We start from the raw sequence: 17969 nt of genomic DNA, 5'->3' as shown, positions 1-17969 counted from the left end.
GGGGTGGGTATCAGGGATTATGCTACCAGAGGTCAGGAGGGTGGGAGTGATTCTCTTTATCCTGATAATATTCATAATTTTTTCCCACTAGAGAGCCTCAAGCCAATATCATCATTAGGGTTACGGACCTGCCTGGTGGCTATGATCATATGATTTAAGAACCTTGGGCTTATGTTGGATTTAAATCAATGGCTTTTCTTTACCAAAGGAGATCACTCATATTTTTCCTTGAAACCTGGAGGATTATATTTTTGTTTGTAACACAGGCATAGGTTGCAGAGTGGTACAGCTGAAAATTGCTAGGCTACAACCCAGAGGCTGATGAATCAAACCACTCTTTACTATAGCTCTGCCTTTTCTGGTTTCAAGGCTTTCAGCTTCTGTGTCCATCCCATAACTCATACTGTGGACCTTCCAAGTGGTTATAGAGAAAGGGTATGGGGATCCCCAGACACCTGCCTCCTAGTGTTCTCTATTTTAAGGGTTCCCAGTCCATCTCTAAGGATTCAGGGTTTGTACTAAAAAGAGCTATAGCAGCCTCTCCTTGGGACAGTGCAGTTAGCTACCTTGTTCCTTTGCATGTAGATATATGGTGGCACTTAATAAGGCCCAAGCATACTGTCTGCAGTCTTGTATAATTTAAGCAATTGGATAACTAGTTGGTGTTCTGGTGGGAAAGGGAGAAAGGACTGCTGCAGGAATGAGATATTTGTTCCCTTGATCCAGAGGCCCCTTTTGGAGTAAACATTGAGATATTGTCTTCCCAGGGCACAACCCATGATACTTCTAAGGGTCTGGAAGCAAGAAGTTCACTGGCAATAGTAGTTAGGAAAACAACAGCAAGTAAGGCAGGTAATACCACAGTCCTTACATGGGCAACGTAAAATTATATGCTGGGGAGCCATTATTTCTCCCAACTAGGAGCAACACCTCTGTTGCCCTTGATACAAGGCAGTCTGAGGCACATGAGCTAATAAGAGATCAGCCCCTTATACACCCCCGCAAAAGGTCTAAGCTCTATGGCCAGTGTCAAAACACATGTAACATTGGGTCTTAGGGGATGTGGCTCACGCTCAAGCTTCCTTTGCTTATTAAGGTGGCGCTCATACCTAGGCCCTTTTGTTCTTGGAAAATTATACCATTAAGCTGTTTTGCTTTTATTATAATTATTGTGGAGTTTTCCACACTGAAGCAACTAGGTAAGGTCAAGATACGGCAAACATTGACCACACACTAGCAAGGACACTCAGCTAAAGCAAAGCTCTCCAACAGACAGGAAATCCATCCACCCAGACAAGGTAGTGGTTTGAACACATTTTTTCAAGCAAGAGAAATCCCCTAAGGAAGATACCCAGGAGTCAGCAGTTAGCCACTGTACTCATTATACCAGATGTTTTTTAAAAATTTTTAATTTTTTTTAATGGTAGGACACAACACAATGACACTTGGCTAGATGGAATGCAGAACTCTCTTATTTACAGATGTGAACTAGAGAAGGCTGTGAGAAAAGACCCCATAGGTGGTTGTAAACAGTGCCAGGGTAATGGCAAGCTGGATCTTTAGTGGGTAACATGTATGGCAAACAGGGTGTGGATACCTAGATTTTACAGGGTCACTGTGGATTGGCTAATCTGAATAATTTTATCAGTCTCTGGGGTTTAGGAGCTATTCTCAGTTAGCTGGGAGCTGGCTCTCAAGTGATTAGATTAGGTATATAATGGCCTGGAGTGTGAGAGTTCCATAAGGGAAGGGGTTCTCATGTGGATTTAATCAGCTACTCAAAAAGGGGAATTGATCAGTTTCTAGCCAGGGTCTCAAAACTCTGTCGAGATAGCATTTTACAAAATAAAACAAACAAACAACTATCTGTATTACAGGGGAATTATCACTGCTGATCCCATGAACATTAAAATGACAATAAAGGAACACTATAAAGAGTACACCCACAAATTTGATAACTTAGGTAACAGCAGCCAATTCCTTGAAAGCCACAAATTATAACACACACAAAGATAAATAAATGACCTGTATTACTTTCTGAAATCAAATCAGTAATCAATAACCTTCCAAAATAGAAATCTCCAAGTCTAGATATACAGTGAACTCTACCAACAATTTATGAAAAAAAATGTGATCTTTTTACAATATGTTCAAGAAAATAGAAGCCAGATGGAACACTTCTACCTCATTCTATAGGTCCATGATTACCCCAATATCCAAACCAGATTAAGATATTATTATAAGATACATGCACCCTAAAACTTAAAGTATAATTAAAAAAATGACAAAATCAAAAAAAAAGATATGATACAAAAAGACAGTTATAGATCAATGTTTCTCTTCAGCATAGATGTGAAAATTCTTAAAATATATTAGCAAATCAAATCCAATGATGTGTGAAATGAATTATACACCACCACCGAGTGGGATGTATGCCAGCTATGCAAAGCTGCCTCAACATTTAAAAATCAACACTATATTTGATTTTTAGGCTAAAAGAGAAAAAGTAATATGATCATACCAATTGGTTCAGGAAAAGCATTAGACAAATACTAAAATCGTTGATAATAAAAACTCTCAGCAAACTAGAAATGGAAAGAACTTTTTAAAATTGATAAGGAAAGCCTACATAAAGAAAGGAAGGAAAGAGAAAAAGAGAACATAATAAATATACTGCAGCTAAAATACTGATCTACAGAATCTCTACATTTAGCATCATATTGATGGTGAGAATCTGGATGCTTTCCCACTAAGTTTGGGAAGAGGAGAGTATGTCCTGTCTCACCACAATTATTTGACATCATGCTGGAAGTCCTAGTTTGTGCAATATGGTAAGAAAATAATATAATAAATGGATGAATTTAAAAGAAAGACATAAAATTGACTGTATTAACAAATGACATGATTGTCTATGCATCAAACCCCAAAGGATTTACAAGAAAACTTATAGAACTAATAAACAGTTATAGCAAATTTGCAGTATTCAAGGTCAATACAAAAAAATCCAATTATTTCCTTATACACCAGCCATGCAAAATTGAAATATAAAATTTAAAAAGTTGGAAATGCAGTTATATCAGTAATAATAAAAAATAAAAATAATAAAAATGAAATGTTTTCATATAAATTTATCAAAATATGTACATATCCATATTGTTAAGATGTCAGTTGTTCTTAACTTGACATATAGAGTCAACACAATACCAAAAAAAAACCTGCCGAGATTTTTTATACATATTGGGAATCTGATTCTAAAATTGTTATGAAAAGGCAAAGAAGTCTAGAATAGCCAGCACAATACTGAAGAAGAAGAAAAAAAAAGATAAAGGACTTATACTAACTAATCCCAAAATTTGCCATAAAGCTGCAGTAATCAAGATAGCATGGTATTGGTGAAAAAAATAGATACATAGATAAATGGAACATATTGGAGAGTCTAGAAATAGAACAACACAAAGATAGTCAATCGATATGACAAATGAGGAAAGGCTGTCAAAGGAGAAAGAATAGTCACTTAAAATAATGGTGCTTGGACAATTAGAAATTCACGTGCAACAAACAAATGCATAAATAAATAAGTAAATAAACTTAGTAACAGATCCCACACAAATATTAACTCAAAATGAACCATACACTTAGATGTAAAATGCAAAATTATAAAATTTCTAGAACAGAACATAAGAGAAAATCTACATGACCTTGATTTTGGTGATGAATTTTTATATACAACACCAAAATCATGATCAATAAAAAACAGATGATAAGTTGAACTTTATGATAGTAATCATTTTTGCATTGTGAAAGACATTGCTAAGGGAATGAAAAGACAAGCCACTGATTGGGAGAAAATTATTTGCAAAACATATATCTGTTAAAGGACATATATCCAAAATATAAAAAGAACTCTCAGTAACGTACAAAGACTCAACAATAAGAAAAAATTCCAGTGTAAAAAAAAAAGACCAACAGTCTAACAGACACCTCATCAAAAAACATATATAGGGGATGATAAGCTTTTTAAAAATACATTGGGCATTTTTTTTTTGGTCATTAGGGAAACTCAAATTAAAATAACAGTGAGAAACCATTATACACATATCAGAATGACTAAATATTTCTAACATCGACAATACTAATTGCTGGTAAAGAACAGAGCAACATGAACTTTTACTCATTGCTGATGGGAATGCAAAATTACACAGCCACTTTGGAAGACAATTTGACAGTTTCTTACAAAGCTAAACCTTTTCTTACCATATGATGCAGCAACTGTGTTCCTAGGTATTTGCAAAACAAGTTTGAATCCTTTGTCCTCACAAAATGCTGCACGCAAATGTTTATAACAGCTTTATTCATAATGCCCCAAACTGGAGGCAACACAGATCTCCTTCAGTTGGTGAATGGATTAAAAAGCAAACTGTTTTTTTTTAATATATATAAAGGCATACTATTCAAGGATAAAGAATGAGCTATTAAGTTACTGAAAAACCTGGGTGAAACTTAAATGCATCTCACATGAAAGAAGTCATTGTGAAAAGACTACGGTATGATTTTATTCAGATGACATACTGGTAAAGAAAGACAAAACTATAGAAACACCGGACATATCAATGGTTACCAAGGGTTCAGGGCCAGGACAAAGGAGAATTGAATAGGTGAAGCACAGGGACTATCTTGTGATGGTGTGACTATTCTGTCTGATACTGTAGTGCTGGATATGTGACACTGTGTTTTTCAAAATCAATAGAACTCTACAGGGCAAAAAGAGTACATTTTAATTTATCCAAATTTAAAAAAATTGAGATCATGTGATCCAAGGATAAAATACAAATGGTGGCAAACAATGTAACTACATTATAAATATAAGAAATAATGTCACTAAAAGTGGTGGGAAGAAACAGTACTGATTAAAGCAACTTGAGTTTGTAAAACTAAAGGCAAAATAAACTGCACATAAGCACTGTTCTCTAGTTGATGAAGTTGCTTCCCATATGGTATAGATCAATGATTCTGAAATCTATATATATCTGTAACAGATTTGAAAAATTAAATAATGGATGACAGATAATGGCTATCATGTTTCTTAATACTGGGGCAGGAGATTTCAGATAATCAAAGGAAGAAGGCTAAAATGATTCACGAGGTAATGGGTTAGAATTAAATACCTAACTGTAGTCCACAATCAAAATGGATTTGAGTTATAAATTCATGTTTAGCTTAGTATATAGAAAAACATATAAATGTATATGGAAATATTTGTAGATATGTGTATATATATGGGTTAGTATATTCTTAAGTATGTCTTTGATCTGTCATCTGTGAAGGCCTAGAAGGAAAAATATGCTAATGGCAATAAGTGTACCTAGTGCCAAAATTTCAGTGTCTAATTCCATTCTCCAATAAAAGGAATCATAACTCCAGGAGAAATGGCTGATTCTAAAAGTGAAGCAATGACGTATACAAGATGAGCCTAGACAGACTTGTAGTGCCTAGACAGACTTGTAGTGCCAGAAAGTAAGAAAGTACTAAACACACACACACACACTCACACACACACAATGAGTGGGATATGTCAAAGGGACACAGGGACCAACTGACAGAACTTCAGGTTCAAAGCTGGAAAAATTTGAGCAAGAAAGTATATAATACAATGTTGGGTTAAAACCCAAAATATAAAATATCCATGAGTCCATACAGATATAAATAGATGACTGAATTTAATAATGAAAATAAAGAGACAAATATTAATTTCTGAAGAACCCCAAATAATTTAAGAAGTTGTGTTGCTCTCAAAGAGGTGGAGCATAATTCCCTACTTCTTAAGTGTGGTCTGTGCATCTTGCCTTCTTTCTAAAGAGTACAGTATGGAGGGTGGGAGGGAAGTAACTTTACGGTGGGGAAATCTGACAAACAGTACCTTAGCCAGCTGAACAAGACTAACATCATAAGTAGTAAGTCATGTTAATAGTAGGCACCTAATGTAATATGATGAGAATGGCAATTATCTATGAGATTTTCATTTTAAAAAGCCATTAACCAAGCACGATCATAAGAAAAATATCAGACAAACCCCAATTGAGGATTAAAATACCTTGACCAGCACTCCTCAAACTGTCAAGGTCATCAGAGAAAGAAATGTCTGGCAGAAATATCACAGTCAAGAGGAGCTCAATGAAACATGACAACCAAAAGCAATGTGGTATCCTGGATAGGATCCTAGAACAGGAAAAGAACATTGGGTAAAAACTGAGGATACCTGATTAAAGTATGTACTTCTAAAAAGGACATGAGGTGAAAAGGAAGGATATTTGATTAAAGTATGAGCTTCATTAATAATAAATATGAATTCATTAATTATAACAAATACTGATGTAATGAGGGATAATAAGAGAATGTAATAATAGGAGAAACTGGATATTGATATATACTCATATTAACAAACAAGGCATAAGAACAATGTCATAAGAGGAACATGCTTACAAGCCACTTCAGAGAAGAATGAGAAAATGTTTGGCTGTAAGTGAAAGATTATTTTATATATAACAGTTTTACAACACTTATTAATGATACATCATTCTGGCTTCTCAATAAATTATTATCATTAATACTTTAAATAAGATATTACAATATTTCCAAATATTTCCATGAGAGTATGATGTATAATGCTTCATTGCTTCCAAAATGCTTTAATACCCAGTGACGCTGACTTTTGAATATCTAAATCTAAGTCACCTCATTTATTAATTTAAATGTAATACAGATACATGTCTGATAAGATGAATAAATTCTAGAGATCTAATTCACATCATGGTGCCTATAGTTAATGGTACTGTAGTGTATATTCGAAATTTGCTGAGAGACTAGATCATAAGTGTTTTCACCACACACACACAAACACACACACACACACCACAAATGGTAACTGAGAGAAGTGATGAATGTATTAAATAATTTGATGGTGGTAATCATTTCACAATGTATATTTATACCAAATCATTACATTTACACTGTAAATATATACAATTTAATTTGTCAATTATTCTTCAATACAGCTGAGAAAAAAAGTAATGTAAACACAGAAAAGTGCACACATCTTAAGTGTATGTGTGGTGAATTTTCAAAAGTGAGCACATACATGTAACCAGGATCCAGATCAAGAAACCCACATTCCAGAAGTGCTTTGCACACTTCGGATGAGGAGGACAGGGAGGTCAGAGAAGGCTGCAAGAGGATGATGTTTGAGCTGGATCTTCAAGGAAAGCTTGTTTTATCAGATGGAAATAAGACATGGTAGCAGGAGCATTCTAAGCGCAGAAAATTAAGTGGGAAAACCATGCATGTGCATTCCAGGAACAAGGAATAGTAAAATCTGCCAAACTCTTTGGTACAAAAAGTGTACTGTATGCTCTGTTAATTCAAAGTTGCTTTTTCTGTAATTTCTAGATGGCTTCAATGATCATATTTTATTTTATCTAATAGAGAGGAATTAGAAATAATTTTAAGTTCAGAAGTGACCTACCCTAAGATGATAAACCAGAAAAATTACAGAGTAAATTGGAAAGAAACAAGATGCAGAAAATCCAAATAGAAGGCCATTACTCCTTGTAGTTTAGTCTCTAGATGCTTCTTTACATGGAAACCAATAACATTATGCATGTATAGTTTATGTATCAGAATCTGTGAAGCATTACAACTCTTTGAGGCAACTTGATTTGTCTTCTAGTCTTTCCTAAACAAACATATGCATCTATAGGGAATATGACTCTAGATCTCCCCTTCCACGCCACTGATCAAGTCAGCTCTGGATAGAAGCAGATCATAATTTTCTTTATGTATTCTTGAGAGGAATTTCTTAGTACAACATGCATATGATCCATATAATATTATAAACATGAATCTTAGTGACCACACAGTATTCTTTAAAAGTCTCCCTTAGCACCAGAAGGACTCATATGAAAAAATTTACCCAAGAGAAGTAGACAAACTAAAGAATAATAACCTGGAGATGCAAATACACATTTACACAGTTCCTTCTGTGTGTTTTGCATTATTCTTCCATACATAATGCTAAATTCAAATACCTATTCAGTCCTTACATAATTGATTATTTCACTGGAAGAGAGATCCACACATATAAAACAGCTATGTATAATCTGGCATTTTCAACTGCTTCAATTGATTCTATAGAATCATAGGGGTAAAATATATTTCTGTTGAAGTGAATGAGTGTTATAGGATGCAGGAAAAGGAACAATTTAAAGGAGAGGAGCAGGGAGAACATTTCAGACTTGAGGAAAATATGAGCAGAGAAATCCTTTCCATAGAAAAAGGATGGAAATCTTTATATCCAAGAGAGTTATCCAATATACACAAAAATACAATAAAAACTATTCACCAGGATAAAATATGGTATAATAGTGATTTTGCATTATACCATAGATAGTATAGATACCAGTTCAGATACCAGGATAGTATCTGAACATATTCGTAGAAACCCAAAGACCGAGTACAAAACTGCTTCTTGGAAGAAGTTCCTGTCCCCTTGCTTCCAGGTTGGTTCTACTATTTGAAAAATAACTGTCCATTTATGGCCAAAGAAAGGAGACCTGTAGATTCCTTTTATAGTGAACACATTGGCAAACAACACATTAGACTGCTCTTTATTACATAATTATTCTCATTTTCATTTAAATGTAAACTTGATTGAGTAATACATAAAAAAGAGAAGTAATAGATTTATTTATTCACATACCAAAATCTGTATTTAGCGGTCTGGCTTCTTGGAGTCACATAAAAGGTGTAGACACTGCTATGTCTCAAAGAGTTGCGAGACTTTTATTGATTTCATGAAGTTTAAGACATCATGGAAGCTAAATGTTAAATTTCTGTTTCTATGTCAAATTGGTATTCCCATGTAATAAAGAATTTGGCTAGGCCTCATTTCTGGTTCCTGGGAGGTAGCCTCTAGAACCTTGGAATTTTCTGAGTGATAGGAGTATCTTTCTTATTCACAATGTTTCATGCTATGAAGATGACTCATGATAGATCCTTAATAGTTTATACTAACAAGATGACTCAGAATGGGGTCTAGCTATACCAGAAAGATGGACCATGTGATTAGAGGATTGAGGCTTTGAGACATGCAGTATCAGTTTGACATCTGGAGAGGGAAAAGGATGCTAGAGATTGACTTCAGATGTGTAGCCAATGAGTCCTTCGATCAAATCTATGTTATCAAACCTCAATAAAAACTCTGAACATCGAGGCTTGGGTAAGCTTGGGCATACTCTGCATATTTTCACACATCAGTAAGCCAGAACATATCCTGATTCCAGACAGAAAAAAATGAAATCTTTATGTTTAGGATCCTACCAGACCTTGTCCTGTGAATCTCTTCTTATCTAGCTTTGATTTGTACCCTTTTGGTATAATAAAACTGTAATCATAAGTATACTGCTTTCCTACGTCGTGTGAGTCATCCTAGTGAATTATTGAACCTGAGAGCTTAGTGTGAATGTCCAAATTTGGAACCAGTTATTTAAAAGTAAGGATGGCCCTGGGTACCTCAAAACTTGTGGCTGGTATCTGAAGTGAAGCCAATCTTGTACAGGTTTATGCCCTTAACCTGTGAGGCTTGTCTTAATTCTGTGTAGTTGGTATTAGAAATAAATATTTGTAGGTAACTTTTAATACCTTTATTACAGATATCTTTTTGCCAACTATAAATTTTAAAATTACCTTTTTTATGACTTTCATGGCTTATAGGAAGTGTCTCACATAAATAATAAAATTACAGTGAATACAATGGATTTTAAGTGAAAGCAAACATCATACATTCTAAGACTAAGAGAACCTCACTATTATTGCACAGCTCCGTTTATTAAACAAAATAACAGAGGTTCCAATATTAGCTCATGCTGGGGAATTATTAGCAAAAATGCCAACCAGATTAGCTTTGACTCAGACCACTACTTCTTAATCAGAGAATCTAAATAAATGGTCCTAAGTCCAATTAAAACCATAAAATCAATGCAGGCATTCAACAACTCTATCTGTACTACTGGACCCAAATGCAATGCCAGAGTTAAGTCCAGTAAGTTAACTGACATGTATTTTAACTGTGATTTTCAATATTAAAATCGTGTTTGTGCACAATTGTAACCAGCAATCATGCTTCCTCCTTCTGTCCACCTTCACACTCCAGTGACCAGAATCTCTTGACAATTTGCAAATTGATAGATGCTTTCTGGGGCTATTGTTATTTTCTGATAACATAAAAGTGTTTTCTTAGTCCAAAATAGAATTAAACAAATGATGTAGGCAACATAAAGACATAAGATTCAGCTTTTCAGTGTAAAATAATGCAGATCAATTCAATCTAACTTGTTTCCCATAAATGCTATGAAATGTAAAACTGCTGAAGAATAAGTCATTGGAATACCAAGAACTTAACCGTGCATAGTTTGATTGAACTCTTTTGGAAATTACTGAGCGGGGGTTCAAAAAATAAGTCACTTATAATATGCATTAAAAACAAGGCAAAACAGTAAAATGGCATTTGGTCCAGCTGAGGAACTCAGTTATGCAGAACTGCCTGTAAAATCTTATTCATCAGATTAAATTTAGATTTGATAAACACTTCAAGGATAAACTATATTTACAGCCATAGTAACATACACAAGCCCTGGGAACTAAATAGATTTATTTACCATTTATGTATATGAGAAGTAAAAAGGTATTTTATTACAAATAGAAGACATTTTGCTATTCTAAAAAAGTTAAAAGTTATTTTTTTTATGCCAGTAAAATGTGGGAAGAACAATCTTGAAGAATTTATATGCCTGCTAGGTGATTTGAGAACCAGCTTTCTATTACTGAATGCACTCTCTTATTTTAGCTAAAAATTTCTGGCATATTAAAATATAATGAAAGCTGAATGTTGAGCATTGCTGATAAAAATAAGACATTTTGAAATTGACAAAAATTTTACATATATTTTATAATCCACCTTATAACTCATTTCTTGCCTCCCTCCCTTATATATCCTAGTCTTCAGTAACACAATTTTCTTTAATATGCCATGTGCTGTCAAGTGGTGTAGTCTTACCTAATTGAAGTCTTATTCCTTCTTGGGACTTGTAAATGAATGACTCAGAGTCTGAGGTGGGGATGAACCTTAATGAATAAATTTCTGTAGCAGGGTCTTACTAGCATGGATACAGCCTTGCCTAGTGAGATTTGAACTTCATCACTTGAGAATTCTGTTGGCAGCCAACAGACCCAGAAAAACAAGTGAACATCAGTAGGCATACAGTAATACATAGTTTAGAATAGTACGATGATTTAAAAGATATCCTTGGGAAGATGTTATACCTAATTTAGTATTATCACAAAGAAAGTACCATGTTTGTGATAATATTAGGCTCATTGGAATTGGAGGCATCCTCTGCTCTACTAAGAAGAATATGGGACTTGAAGCCTGAGTCATTTGAACACTTATCAATTTTACTTTCTAATTTGTACAAGGAAACAGAAAAATTACTTCACACATTTTTATGTGTTAAAGATTTTATTCAGTTTTAATGGGGAAGCAGGCAGATGCCACAATCAATTCAAAATAGAAGTTAACAAGTGCAGATTTATATGTAGTAAGGAATAGTTGAAATGATGCAGAAAGACATGAAACTTTCTTCATCCTGGAAGGGGAGGTCAATTGAACCTTTACCAGAAATAACAAATAACTTATTTTCATGGCTATAGATGAGGATTCTTTTGCATTGCTGTGAATTATCTGCACGGTAAAGAGTGTGAGAGCCAAATAGCAGAGAAAGGCTAGAATCGCCTATAAGGATATGTTCTAAAAATGCAGTCTTCCATTAGAGACATCTAGTAGACTTTTCTTCCTTGTTTTTTTTATTTTATATCAGTTTTCATAACAGTCTCCCCTTTGTGATTTAAGAAAACTCAGTGAAATAATATTCTTGAGCACAAATTAAAGCTGGTTTTATTAGGTTTGGCTTCATAGATACATGGAGAATGTTAATTTTTCACATAAGTCTTCTTACATTTACTTTGCTGAAAATTAATTTGCTGAAATTACTTTGCTGAAAATTTTTGTAAGGAAACAGATTGAATTTGTAAAAGCCCCTATTATTTGCTATCCTGATTTAAGGAATTAAAGTCCAAGAAAATCTCTCGACTGTATTTTACCTGTGACACCTATACATTTGGGAGAATTCCTCTCTTCTCAAAGTTCTCCAAATACTCTGAGGTCCTTTGTCTGCAACGAAAATATCTTTTTCAGCATCTCTAAACCTGAGACCCTACAAAGCAAATCAGGTTTTTCTGAGAGGGATTTATGAGTTTTTGGCTCCAGAAAGTGGACCTCAGTTCTTTAAAGTAGCGTACCTTTCTGATTAAATGAGCAGCATTCTCAAATGTGATATTTCAGACAAGGCATTTGTTGCCTAATGAATAGTTCCCTTTATATTTTTTATTTAAAAAGGACAAATTCTTAATGAATCTATGCAAAGATATTGCCATGGAAATTGAGGAAAACTTAAGGGGAATTCCTGATTTGGAAAAGGGATGATAGTTAGAAAAATATATTATTTTTTATTTTAATTTATTTTGTTGAGACAGGGTCTCACTCTGTCTTCCAGGCTGGAGTGCAGTGATGCATACTTGGCTCACTGCAACCTCCGCCTCCTGGGTTTAAGCGGTTCTCCTGCTGGTTGATTGCAGAACTTCCATGGAAGCCTGAGAGTAAAACAAAACTTATCTGTAGGTGACAGAGACTTAATATGGCTGTGATTAAATCAATTACTGATAACTTTCAAATTAGAAGGTCTGATGAGACTTCATGACAAGAATAACATATAACTGACAAGGAAATCTGGTATTTTTGTGGCATGCAAAAAAATAAAGCCATTTCAAATGCATTTTAGGAAAAATGTCTCCAATTATGGTAAGTTTCATTTTGAAGAACACAGGGAATATCAGGTCTAATTTATAAAATGAAAGGACCTAATTTTAACAGGAAAAAAAGTTGATTTAAAACATGCAATAATCCTGAAGCATTATACATCTATACAAATTATAATATCATATAATATGGTATTATATTATATAATATACTGACCACATACCAAGAATTTAATAAGAGTATCAACTAAAGAAATTCTATGATTGTGAAATAGGTCCTAGATATTTTTGTCTTTATAAAACTCTATAGGTAAGTTGAATATCCATTTCCCAATTGAAACCCACTAACCTAGAAGATAGTAAATTCAAATAAAAGAAGTAAAGTTCTGAACAGGTTAACATTTTAAATAATAACTAAAAGTATGACTTATAACATTATGCTGTTGTTGCCTATTATCATTAGGCAAAGCATCACCAGCTCTGATATACAAGAAAGTTTGACAGAATGTTGATACTAATTACATCAGTGTTTTCCTTGAGTTTAAGAGACAGTATGAAAAGCGAAGACACTGATAAATCTCTAGAGACTTCTCATAAAGCATACAATTTCTAAAATATTTATATTAATAACATTATTACTGACATAATTTAAAGAAAACTAACCATATCTTCTGGTTCAATAGCTCTTCCATTCTAGTTTATCAATAGTACCATATCAGATAAACCTGATTATCTCCAGCATCCTACTAGATGGTGAAAGAACAAGTCTTTGTGATTTTTTAGGGGCCCTTCAGAGTATTTAAAAATTAGTTTTTAGTATAAAAGATATCTTAAATATTTTTATTTTTTCTATAGTTAGGATATGATGTGGGAAGTCACAAAAAAATTGTTAGAGGAGATTTAAAGACAATTAAAATAGAATTGTAGGTCCCTGGTAAACAGTATGTGGCTACACATTTTACTCAAATGACAATAAAACATTTAACAATAAACATACAAAGTAATACAATTGTAAAGAACCTTAGCTCTTTTATAAGGTAGGAACTTTTGTGTTTTCCTGAATAATCAAGGGCATGATAAAGCCCAACATAAAGAACAGAAAATTATTCTTGTAAATCATAGAATCTAAGCAGATTATACAGAGAAAAAGAATATTCTTTCATATTGCAATGGCAGCAAGTAATAAATCATGGAAACAAATCCACCAATATCAAGTAAACGTTGCTAAGAATTTAACACGTAACTTTTCAGACTCAGATATTATAAATAAGGACAAATAAAATTCACTTTGAGATTTTGTCTTTTATTACACTAATCTATTTTCTTTATGATGTAACACACTGACATCTTACTTTAAAATACATCTGAGGGCATCTGGAAGTTTAGACTAATTTCATAATAATATAGAAGATTATTCATATATCATGTACTTATTGTTACCTCGATCAAATGAATCAATAAATAATGTTTTAAAAATTCTTAGTTCAAGTTTCTGCAAGGTAAATATTGATAGTTTTTCCCACAAAGACAAAGGTTTTTAGGGGATTCATCAAAAAGTTTTAGCTCGTACAAGCATCTGAATGCAAAACATGTAGATGCGCACACACACACACACACACGCTCAACCCTCCATTTTTTGAAAAGCAGAAAGCAAGCATTGTTATATTTCTATATCACTATTTCTCCTAAGTATGGTCAAAACCACTTACAATGATTATAACTTTTAACTATTGTAACTCAATATTAGTAGGTTAATCCTCCTGGTTTTTATAGGTTTTGGCACTAAAAGTCCTACATCCCAAGAGAACTTCTTAGTTTGTTTTCTTAGCTCCAGACAAATTCACAGGCGGAGTGAAGAATTGAGAATTGTCTTTCATACACCAGTACCTTAGCAGACTTGCAGAGCTTACGGCTGCATGGAACACAGCTTTCTGCAACTACAAATGTTTCATGCATAGCTTCTCAAAATGGCAAAATTTAACACCTTTGTTTACATGGCCCAAAGATATAACTTATTTGTAGCATGTAAAAAATAGGAGGCAAATTCATGTAGCTTAAAATTGTACATAATAGTCAATGATGTTTCATCATTTCATCTTCTTAGGAAGATTGCCGTATAATCTATTAATTAGCTTGGTATCAGTCAAAGGTTCTGAATTATCTGAATATCTTGGAAATTAATTTCAAGTGGACTTACTGCAAAATATAGTTTCTGCTGAAATTTTTTAAAATGTCAGAATATTCAATTTAGTTAAAAATGAATTTGCATTTTTCATAACTTTGAATATTAAATATGAATGTTAACTTATTTGGCTATTCAACTTGAATACATTTATGGAAACATCCCCAAATTGAATAAAAATGTACATTTGTATTGTACTTAACATTGATAAATCAGAGTAGACATGGCTATTTTTATTAAACTAAAATTATTAAATTAGCCTTGTTTGTCAAAGTTTTACCTAATTTCTGTAAACAAAGACTCATATTTCTGAATTAGTTTTTATAAGAATTGTAAACTACATGTAAAACACATTAAAAGTGTTAAACATTAAATTTTATTTTATTCCTGTGAATTTTAGGATTATTCAATTTCTATAAGGATTTATTATTTTCCATAAGTCAATCCAGTAGTTTTAATTTAAGAGCCTTTGGAATCTAAGTTATTAATAATACTGTGGAGGAATTAAAAATGTTCCACAACCGGACAACAAAGGGCAAATGCCTTTCTGAATAACAGACACTTAGAAAAATAAACACACAAAGAGATTATAGCTTTAATTCCATAATTTCCATCATGGGTCACGACTTAGTACAAAACCATAAAAATGTCATTGGTTCTTGTATCAAAAAACTATTGTCCTTCCCAAGGGGCATAGGATTCTTAACTGAGTTGAGCTTAAATGGAGAAACAAACAAAAAACACTAGCTGAGCAGAGATATTTCATTACCTCTCATCCAACAGAACGTTGCTATCTCTAAATTATTAATCCATTTAACAAATATTCAGAGGATAAAATTGGAAAATTAGATTTTTTTTTTTTTTTTTAATTTGAGACAGGGTTGCCCAGGCTGAACTGCAGTGGCGCTATCTCAGCTCACTGCAACCTCTGCCTCCTGGGTTCAAGAGATTCTCCTAATTCAGCCTCCTGAGTAGCTGGAACTACAGGCATGCGCCACTACACCTGGCTAATTTTTGTATTTTTATTAGAGACAGAGTTTCGCCATGTTGTCCAGTCCGGTCTGGAACTCCTGACCTCAAATGATCTGCCCGCCTTGGCTTCCCAAGGTGCTGGGATTACAGGCGTCAGCCATGTTAAAATCAGATTTCAATCATTGCTGCCACCAATGGGGAATAGCTTAACAAATGTAAGTTAATAAACCAAAACCAAAATATATTATAGGAAAGAAAACTGAAATTAGAAAAAAGTAGATTATATTTCCATGTGGGGCTTACCACTGAGAGCCAAGAAATTGTGTCCGGAATTGGTGGGTTCTTGGTCTCACTGACTTCAAGAATGAAGCCGTGGACCCTCGCGGTGAGTGTTACAGCTCTTAAGGTGGCGTGTCTGGAGTCTGCCCTTCTGATGTTCAGATGTGTTCGGAGTTTCTTCCTTCTGGTGGGTTCGTGGTCTCGCTGGCTCGGGAGTGAAGCTGCAGATCTTCGCGGTGAGTGTTACAGCTCATAAAAGCAGCGTGGACCCAAAGAGTGAGCAGTAGCAAGATTTATTGCAAAGAGCGAAAGAACAAAGCTTCCACGATGTGGAAGGGGACCCGAGCGGGTTGCCAATGCTGGCCCAGGCAGCCTGCTTTTATTCTCTTATCTGGCCTCACCCACATCCTGCTGATTGGTAGAGCGGCGTGGTCTGTTTTGTCAGGGCGCCGATTGGTGCCCTTTACAATCCCTGAGCTACATACAAAGGTTCTCCACCTCCCCATCAGATTAGTTAGATACAGAGTTTCCACACACAGGTTCTCCAAGGCCCCACCAGAGCAGCTAGATACAGAGTGTCGATTGGTGCACTCACAAACCTTGAGCTAAGCACAGGGTGCTGATTGGTGTATTTACAATTCCTGAGCTAGATATAAAGACTCTCCACGTCCCCACCAGACTCAGGAGACCAGCTGGCTTCACCTAGTGGATCCCACACCGGGGCTGCAGGTGGAGCTGCCTGCCAGTCCTGCGCCATGCGCTCGCATTCCTCAGTCCTTGGGTGGTCGATGGGACTGGGCGCCGTGGAGCAGGGGGTGGCGCTCGTCGGGGAGGCTCGGGCCGCACAGGAGCCCATGGAGTGGGTGGGTGGGAGGCTCAGGCATGGCGGGCTGCAGGTCCCGAGCCCTGCCCCGTGGGAAGGCAGCCAAGGCCCGGCGAGAAATCGAGCGCAGCGCCGGTGGGCCAGCACTGCTGGGGGACTCAGTACACCCTCCGCAGCCACTGGCCCGGGTGCTAAGTCCCCCACTGCCCGGGGCCAGCAGGGCTGGCTGGCTGGCTGCTCCGAGTGCGGGGCCCACCAAGCCCACGCCCACCCAGAACTCCAGCTGGCCCGCAAGTGCCGCACACAGCCCCGGTTCCCGCTCGTGTCTCTCCCTCCACACCTCCCTGCAAGCTGAGGGAGTGGGCTCCGGCCTTGGCCAGCCCAGAAAGGGCTCCCACAGTGCAGTGGGGGACTGAAGGGCTCCTCAAATGCCACCAAAGTGGGAGCCCAGGCAGGGGAGGTGCCGCGAGCAAGCGAGGGCTCTGAGGACTGCCAGCACGCTGTCACCTCTCAAAATGACACAACTAGGCTTAAAAGCTCAAATAAACAGCACTGCTCTGGAAAAAAAGTCCACCATCTCTCTCAGGTGAATTCATTGGGCATCTTGTTGGAAGACCTCCAAACAGGTAAAAGTCATAAAATTATATAAAATTATTATATGATACTTTCTTACAGCTTTTCTAATGAGTAAAAGTTTTTATGAGTAAAATTGTGACTCACGTGGATAAAAAAACCTGTGGAATATTTAATTAACTTCTTATTAATGAGGAAATGAGGTAGATGTTATAA

General features: G+C 35.5%; 1 long non-coding RNA gene across 1 annotated transcript; it reads right to left on the bottom strand.

Annotated features, from left to right (window-relative positions):
- Positions 1-11550: 11550 nt before the first annotated feature.
- LINC01419 (long intergenic non-protein coding RNA 1419) lies at positions 11551-16693 on the bottom strand. Its single transcript, NR_122034.1, has 2 exons — positions 16382-16693; positions 11551-12759 (listed from the first exon to the last, which is right to left on the bottom strand). It is a non-coding gene; the product is annotated as a long intergenic non-protein coding RNA 1419 (long non-coding RNA).
- Positions 16694-17969: the final 1276 nt, after the last annotated feature.

The sequence above is a fragment of the Homo sapiens genome, chromosome 8 (assembly GCF_000001405.40).
Source record: "Homo sapiens chromosome 8, GRCh38.p14 Primary Assembly".
Lineage (NCBI taxonomy): Eukaryota > Metazoa > Chordata > Mammalia > Primates > Hominidae > Homo > Homo sapiens.
Note: the sequence above shows the minus strand (reverse complement) of the source record. Positions and strands in the feature narration are given on the sequence as shown.